Here is a 9,625-nt window from a genome sequence, read left to right as displayed (position 1 = left end):
TGAGCTGATCTGGAATTGGGAGTGTCATACTCTACTCCACTTATATTTTTGATCTATAAAGGTGTAACCACACTCATAAATGCTTATTAACCAAAGACCCAAAGTTCTGCTCCATATCAATAATCTTTGCAAGACCTTCATCATTAGTTTTCATTAATAATTCATATTCTGTCACCCCCACTAAAAGTGAGCTTCCTGAAGGCAGAGACTTTGTCATGAAGACTACCTGACACAAAGTAGGCATTCAGTTTATTTTCAATGGATGACTGAATTAATAAACGAATTATGGTTTCATAACTGAGACCTCATTAAAGCAGCTTCCACCTGCCTCAGCCTCCCAAAGTGTTGGGATTACAGGCATAAGCCACTGTGCCTGGCCTGGAGACCTCTATGCTAATGCTTGTACCTATGTATCTACTTTAATTAATTCATTACTTAATTTATTTATTTTGAGATGGAGTCTCACTCTGTCACCCAGGCTGGAGTGTAGTGGTGCGACCTCAGCTCACTGCAATATTTGCCTCTGGGTTCAAGCCATTCTCGTGCCTCAGCCTCCCTCGTAGCTGGGATTACAGGCGCATGCCACCATGCCCGGCTCATTTTTGTATTTTTAGTAGAGACAGGGTTTCACCATGTTGGCCAGGCTGGTCTCGAACTCCTGACCTCAAGTAATCCTCCCGCCTCGGCCTCCCAAAGTGTTGGGATTACAGGCGTGAGCCACCGCGCCTGGCCTGATTTTTAAAATTCTATTTCCTATTCTACTTTGTTGGTTATGAATCACTAAGTTAGTTTCATGACCTTCTCTAGAGGTTTGAGAGAAAAAATCAAGACCACTACTGTAGAAGATTTCAGGGGATTCAAAGGGAAATGATGGCCACTGGCCAACAGAAAGCACATATAGGCCACTGAATTATCAACATAAATCCAAACAAAATGCTGTCCGTTTTAACAAATGGTGCTGGGAGACCAACTGTGTATTCAAGTGTAATGAAATGAAATTGGACCCTTACCTGACACCATATATAAAAATTAACCAGAAATGGTTAAAGGCCTAAGCGTAAGAGGTAAAATTATTATACTCATAGGTGAAAATATAAGCATAAATCTTCAGAGCTTGGATTAGGTGGTGGTTTCTTAGACAGGACAAATAAAACACAAGCCACAAGAGAAAAAGAGATTGATTGGACTTCATCAAAATTTAAAACTCTTATGCTTCAAAAGACACCATAAAAAATTAAAAAGACGGCCGGGCACGGTGGCTCACACCTGTGATCCCAGCACTTTGGGAGGCCGAGGCAGGCAGATCACTTGAGGTCGGGAGTTCGAGACCAGCCTGACCAACATGGAGAAATCTATCTCTACTAAAAATACAAAATTAGCTGGGCATGGTGGCACATCCCTGTAATCCCAGCTACTCGGGAGGCTGAGGCAGGAGAATTGCTTGAACCTGGGAGGTGGAGGTTGTGGTGAGCCGAGATCATGCCACATTGCACTCTAGCCTGGGCAACAAGAGCGACACTCCATCTGAGAAAAAAAAAAAAGAAAAAGAAAGAAAGAAAGAAAAAATTGGAAAGGCAACCTACTGAATGGATTTTTTCTTCAAATTATTTATCAGATAAGGGATATATGTCTAGAATGCGTAAAGAACTCTTACAACTCAATAATAAAAAGACAAACAAGCCAATTAAGAAGTAGACAAAAGATCTGACCAGATACCTCACACATTGTTTTTAGTGTTTGGTGAGGGAAGGAAGAAAGGGAAAAAGGAAGAAAGAAAGGAAGGAAAGAAGAAAGGATGGGAGGAAGGGAAGGAAAGAAGGAGGGAGAGAGGAAGATTCTTTCTTGCAGGTCTTTGGGCACTAGGTATATTTTAGGGCAGGAAACAGAGACTTGGGAAAAAGGACCTTGGGTGAATTTCAAGATCAGTTATCAGATGATTATTCATTACCACAGAATCTCCATATCTTCTAGTAGGAGGGGACCCTGATCTAATTCCTTCACTGAATAAGGTAAACAGCGTCCCAAGAGGTGTAGTGACTTTCTCAAGATCATATGTCCAATATGAAAGAAGCTAGGGTTAGCAGAGTTTAAGTCTCAAATGACTTATGAAATATTGTTATAAAATAGGAGAAAATACAGAGAACAGAAGGACAAAGAAGCAGGAAGTGGGGGGATATTAAAACACAAAATATACATTTGCCATGATAACTTTTGTTCTCCGGGACAGAGGCGTACATTTTGCAGTATTGTGAAATAGCGGTTAGGAGGGGACTAACTCATGGATGCTAGGCCAGAATCACCACATGAGTGCTGTGGGGACCAGTAAAATTTTTAAAGTTTTATAATACAAAATACTCAGTGTTCTTTTAGTGCCCTCTGTAGTTCTCTGCAGAATCAACTTAATGTGGAATGATTTCTACTGAGTGCTTCTTTGTCCTTTTCATTTTCTTCGTAAACCACTTCCTTCTTTCAGTCTCTACTACTACCAGAGATCTGGATTCCTCATTTTCTATTCTGGGAGAAAGCCTATTCTGCAGGAGGATTATCATCCCCCCGCCCCTAGTTATTTATGTACTATATATAAAACATATATTAATATATATAATTTTATAACAAAACTGTGTAGATTCATTGAAGAAAATGTAGAAGATATGGGAGTAAAAGCAAGATTTTTAAATCACCTTTAGTCTCACTATCTAGATATTAATACTAATAATATTTTGTGGGATTTCCTTTCAGTCTTTTGGGGGATTTTTAAAAATGCATATACACACACAGAGTACACACTTTAAAACAATTAATTGGGCCAAATTATACAAATATAACATATTATCACTTGCTGTTTTCATTTAACAATGTATCATTGCCACTTTTCTCTATCCTAAAGTAATCTTCTATAATATTTTAATTATCTCAAATATTCCCTTGTATAATGTGCCAAAAAATATTCAGATCATCTACTAAGTCTTGGATATTTTTGTTGTCTCCAATTTTTTCATAATATAGAAAAAAATGTGGCTGGGCGCCATGGCTCATGCCTATAATCCCAGTACTTTGGGAGGCCAAGATGGGTGGATCACGAGGTCAGGAGATGGAGACCATCCTGGCCAACATGGTGAAACCCCATCCCTACGAAAAATACAAAAATTAGCTGGGCATAATAGCATGCGCCTGTAATCCCAGCTACTCAGGAGGCTGAGGCAGGAGAACGGCGTGAACCCGGGAGGTGGAGGTTGCAGTGAGCCAAGATTGCACCACTGCACTCCAGCCTGGAAAACAGAGCAAGACTCCGTCTCAAAAAAAAACAAAAACAAAAACAAAAAAATGCTACACTGAAAGTCATTGGAGCTAAATCTTTTGCGTGTGTCAATGGTGATTGTTTACTCAGGATAAATTCCTAGAAGTAGGTCAAAGGTAATCACATAATTAAGCACAAATAGGTAAGTATATAATTTAAAAGTTTTGATAAGTGCTGTCAAATTGTATTCCAGAAAGATTGTGGAATTTTATAGCCCTATTAAAAAAGCAAAGTGAGGCTGGGCACGGTAGCTCATGCCTGTAATCCCAGCACTTTGGGAGGCCAAGGTGGGTGGATATCGAGGTCAGGAGTTGGAGACCAGCCTGATCAACATGATGAAACCCCGTCTCTACTAAAAATACAAAAATTGGCCGGGTGTGGTGGCATGCGCCTGTAATCCCAGCTGCTCAGGAGGCTGAGGTAGGAGAATTGCTTGAACCTGGGAGGCGGAGGTTGCAGTGAACTGAGATCGCACCACTGCACTCCAGCCTGGGCAACAGAGCAAGACTCTGTCTCAAAAAACAAAAAAAAGAAAAGTGTGCCTGTGTATTTGTGTATATTTGTATGTGTGTGTATATAATGTGTGTGTATATGTGTGTGTGTTTTACCCAGTATTGTGGGAAACTCCTTAGCTTAGGTCACTATATCAGAGTAACTCTGGTTGCTGTCATAAATAAACTCTAAAATTGCAATGGCGTAACATAATATAAATTTATTTTTTGTGCATGTAACTGTCCAATGAGGGGTTCCTGGTTGAACATGGCTTTCTCCACAGGGTAATTTAGGGATTCAGGCTTTTCTATCTTGTGGGAATTTTCTGGTGCTTCCCCGCTGTTGTATCCATCTGATGGGGACACAGGGAAAAGAAGAAACATAATGGAGACATAACTTCACATTCCATTGACTAGAACTCAGTCATATAGTCAATCTAACTGCAAAGGAGTATAGGAAATGTAATCAGGAGGCGCTGCCACAGTAACCAAAAAGGATAAACGTGGGTAAAACAATGCAGCAGTTTCATGGAATTAAAAACACATTGCTGACTCTATTGACAGAAGAGGCCAATTGCAGTCATTAGCAATAACATTTCCATGGACACATTGAAGTTGAAAAGACAACTTAAATTCTCTAAAGGCTTTCCACCTGTATATTTGCAAACATATGATAGGGTTTTTTAAAATACCAATTTTATGCTGAATAAGGCTTTCCCATTCAATATCCTACTGTTAGTTTTTATTAGTATACTATATATTACAACAAAAAGATACTAAATACCTAGTTAAAATAATTAATCATGCACAGAGCATTATTTCATTTGACAATGTTCTGTTCATTTATCTGCTGTAATTCCTACAATACGACTCAGGCAGGTGAATTTGTAGGTTTATTGATGTTCCACAGTGAGCAAGTCTATGCAAACCTAACCCCAAAGGCCAAGGAAGCTGAGAGTCTGAAGAATGAGGCTGACAAATCCACTCCCTCAGAAAAAAACACTTAACAGGGAGTTATGAACAGAAGCTATGTCCTAGGCAGCCACAGAAGAGATGGCGGATTCCCAGGCCATTTCCACCCAGACTCAGGGTATATACCATAGGGAAGGAATGTGTAGGACAGTTAAAGCTGACCCCTCAGGGAAAGGCAACAAGGCAATGTGAATCTACCTAAACGCAGGATGTATGGTAAAGGTCGTTTTGAACAAAGGGCAGGATTTATAGTAACAGTAGATAAAGGAGAAATCTTAGAGGCATTCCTGGAACAGGGGTCAATCAGAAGTCAACATAGCAGATTAGCGTCCAAGATGGAGTTGCTTTAATCTTCACAATTGGACAATCATACAGGCTGTCCTAAGATTTTTATAGGCGTGTTTCCCTTTGTCCTCTTCTAGAAGTCAATTTATGGCTTGACGATATATTTAAGGTCAACTTGCAGAAGTATGAATGGCTTTATGTTTTTTCTCCTTTCATGTTAAGTGCAAGTTAAGTAGTCTGCCAAGTAGATCATAAAACAGTCTTGAAAATATTGGCCAGGCACAGTGGCTCACACCTGTAATCCCAGCACTTTGGGAGGCCGAGGTGGGAGGATCATGAGTTCAGGAGTTCGAGACCAGCCTGACCAACATGGAGAAACCCCGTCTCTACTAAAAATACAAAATTAGCCAGGCATGGTGGTGCATGCCTGTAATCCCAGCTACTTGGGAGGCTGCGACAGGAGAATTGCTTGAACCCGGAAGGTGGAGGTTGTGGTGAGCCGAGATCGCGCCATTGCACTCGTAAAGACGTGTAGTTTTTTTTAATAACTCGTTTTGTGCACTGATACTCATTCATAACACATAGCCAATGTCTTTTCCTTAACACCATCACTGTTAATGTCTGCTGCTTGGGGCTGAGATAAAGTTCCTGGCTTACCTTTAAACACATCACATTGGCACTGAAATTTTGAATTTAGCTGGAATCCCACAAGAATCTCCCTCCTGCTCATCTGCATGGTCACAGTCAGATGGCCAGTCTGCCATTCTTATTTGTGGCAGCAGAGTCTCTCCAGTTTGGGCTTCCAGCTGCAAGTGCTGCAGACATCTCCCTAAAGATGACAACCAGAAACAAAATGCAGACCTCTGGCTCAAGTAAAGCCATTCCCACCAAGATTTCTTATTTGGTGGCCACACCCATGTCAGAAGAGCATTTCAGGTCTGTGGCATCCACACCCGAAACATTAATTGCTGTGCCCTGTGCAGCTGTACATTCACAATCTCTAACTAGCCAGTGGTAATGGAGCCTCAAATGGACCCTGGAAAAGGCAGCTGAGAAGGCAGTGGCTGCTTTTCTGCATCATTGCATGATCCAGGAAATACCTTCCGTGGCTCTAGAGTTGAACCTTATTGAGGCTGAGCTGGCTGTACTTTCCAGTGCTGATGACTGAGTTGTGTTTGGGAAGAGGAGCGTGATGGTTGTTAATTCAAGCCTGGCAGGAGCTCTCAGAGATATTGGTGGGAGGGTGACAGAAACAGCTGGACTGCTTGTCTTATTTGGCGTAAGGACCAGTGTGTGTTAATCTGGGCTGCAGGCTGTGTTCCCTGAAAATCAGACATTGGGAATCTGAGATTTGCATGTAGGGAGTCTATAGGGGCTGATGCATGGTGGGTATTTTGGGCATCAGTATATGAGGGGGAGTGAAGGACACAGGAATAAGCAGAGGGAAATGATGAATTGCTGTGTAGTGACAATAAAGGACTCAACTGATCCCTGGAGGCACTGTGGACCTATAAAGTTGTCCCCAGCAGAGGCAAGCATGCTGGGCTTTCATTCCTCTCATCCTCCCACCTCCCATGTTTAGATAAGGGCTGCCTCCAGGGCAGTGACCTTGAGTGAGGCAGCTTTGGTGATTCAGCTGAGAGCTGTCAGCCTTCAATACTCCCAGCAGCTAGGAAAATGAGTGATGTATTTCTGAAAAGATGGTACCAGGTGAGGGGAGAGATGAATCTTACATCCCACAACAGCATCCACTGTAATCTTACATCTCACAACAGCATCCACTATATTCTACGGCACAGACATGTCAGATAGGAGGCATTTCTTATAAGTTTACAAAATTGGCGAGGAAACCTCTCTGCAGCTCTGCATACTGACTGCATGTAAAATCGAACATCATTGAGGGTTGCACAGTAATTGTGTTGCCCAGTAAGCTTGTGGCCACCTCAGAAGCAGACATACTACTCTTATTCTCATGACCTCACCGTAATTGCAATGTAGCTTTTCTCTCTGTACATGTCTTCCTCTCCTCGACCTCCATTTCAACTGTTTTCCCCTCCCTCCCTCTTTCTTTCTTTCTTTCTCTTTCTTTCTTTCTTTCTCTCTTTCTCTTTCTTTCTTTCCTTCCTTCCTTCCTTCTTTCTTTCTCTCTCTCTCTTTCTTTCCTTCCTTCCTTCTTTCTTTCTTTCTCTCTCTTTCTTTCTTTCTCTTTCTTTTCTTTTCTTTCTTTCTTTCTTTCTTTCTTTCTTTCTTTCTTTTTCTTTCTTTCTTTCCTTCCTTCCTTCCTTCCTTCCTTCCTTCCTTCTTTCCCTTCCTTCCTTCCTTTCTTCCTTCCTTCCTTCCTTCCTTCCTTCCTTCCTTCCTTCCTTCCTTCCTTCCTTCCTTTCTTTCTTCCATGGACTTTCATTCTGTCACCAGGCTGGAGTGTAACAGCCCGATCTCAGCTCACCGCAACCTCTGCACCCCGGGTTCAAGCGATTCTCCTGCCTCAGCCTCCCGAGTTGCTGGGATTACAAGTGCGCACCACCACACCCAGCTAATTTTTTGTATTTTTAGTAGAGATGGGGTTTCACCATGTTGGCCAGGCTGGTCTTGGACTCCTGACCTCAGGTGATCCACCAGCCTCGGCCTCCCAAAGTGCTGGGATTACAGGTGTGAGCCACGATGCCCAGCCCAATTATTCTTTCTTTTGCATTTGTATCTTCTGAAGAGAAAATGTATCTGAATCTCTGAGTTGACCTCTGATACAGAATGTTCCAGTTGGGTTGATCTTCTGGGCAAGGCCAGCTCAACCTATAACTAGTTGTCTTTGGTCTGGAAATGGTTTCAGCTCTGGTCACATGACACAAAACAAGTGAAGATAAATAGAAACAGGCACAGAGTCCTACACAAAATTAAGGTGTTGAATTAATAAATGCATTTTTATGATATTTGTGAATATTATTAATAAATAGTAGCTCCCGGTTGTGGGAAAGATGATGTAGAAGCACTGGATATATCCTGTGATATTACTATGCACAACAACTATTTAAAAAATTTTTTTAAAGAATCTAATCAATATGTACTTACATACAAAAAATTAGCTGGTCGTGATGGCACACGCCTGTAGTCCCAGCTAATAGGGAGGCTGAGGCAGGAGAACTGCTTGAACCCAGGAGGCAGAAGTTGCAGTGAGCCGAGATTGTGCCACTGCACTCCAGCCTGGGTGACAGAGCGAGATTCCGTCTCAGAAAAAAAAAAAAAAAAAATGTACTTATGACTTTTTTGAATGGTAGCAAAAGTAGCAGAATTTTTTTTTTTTTTTTTTGAGACAGGAGTTTTGCTGTCACCCAGGCTGGAGTGCAATAGCATGTTCTTGGCTCACGGCAACCTCCGCCACCTGAGTTCAAGCGATTCTCCTGCCTCAGCCTCCCAAGTAGCTGGGATTACAGGCGTGCATCACCATGCCCAGCTAATTTTTGTGTTTTTAGTAGAGACGGGGTTTCACCATGTTGGCCAGGCTGGTCTTGAACTCCAGACCTCAGGTGATCCACTCCAGACCTCAGTGCTGGGATTACAGGTGTGAGCCACCGTGCCCGGCCTTTTTATTTCTTTTAATCTTAAAAGTGATAGCATTTAATTGTCTAAAGGAAAATGGTGGAGAATACCAGAGGGACTGGAAAGGAAGAAGTTTTTTTGGGAGGGGTAAAATAGCTGTAGATTTCTTTTAGTAGAAAAATGTTTATATATATTGAATACTAATTCTAATAATAACTTATAGAGAGCTACAAGGTTTTCAAAATTGTTTCAGAGAACATTATACAAGTTGATGGTCCTAACAGTGCTGTGTGATAGGTGAAACAGAGATTGTAGCCTTTATTATATAGATGATAAAACTGAGGCATAGACTGGGCACAGTGGCTCACACCTGTAATCCCAGCACTTTGGGAGGCCGAGGCCAGTGGATCGCCTGAGGTCAGGAGTACAAGACCAGCCTGACCAATATGGTGAAACCCCATCTCTACTAAAAATACAAAAATTAGCAGAGCATGGTGGCATGCGCCTGTAGTCCCAGCTATTCGGGAGGCTGAGGCAGGAGAATCGCTTGAAGCCAGTAGGCGGAGGTTGCAGTGAGCCGAGATTGTGCCACTGCACTCCAGCCTGGGTGACAGACGAAGACTCCGTCTCAAAAACACAAGACAAAACAACAAAAAAACTGAGGCATAGAAAGAGTAAATGTCTTCCTCCAGGTCACATGGCTAATTCATCTAATACATTCTCTAGTTTTCCTACTTTAGCATCCTGTGGAAGGATCGTGGGAAGGAGATGCTTCCAGATAGGGCTTTCATAGTGTTGAGATGGGAACGGGAGTTGCTACACTTAAACATGGCACCAATGTCACTTCATTTGTCTTCTCCCCAAGCAGTTTTTCCTCTAAATCACCATATGTTTGTTAAACGGGGCTGGAACCTCCCCACCTACTGTTTAGGATTTCCTTTCACTACAGTGTAACATAAAGTGTTGGCATCAAATCCAGAGACTGTGTGGATTTGAAATCCTCCATAAGGTACAACAATACCAATGTGGTAGTTATGGGCATTTG

This window comes from Homo sapiens, chromosome 2, assembly GCF_000001405.40.
Source record: "Homo sapiens chromosome 2, GRCh38.p14 Primary Assembly".
Classification (NCBI taxonomy): Eukaryota; Metazoa; Chordata; class Mammalia; order Primates; family Hominidae; genus Homo; species Homo sapiens.
Note: the sequence above shows the minus strand (reverse complement) of the source record.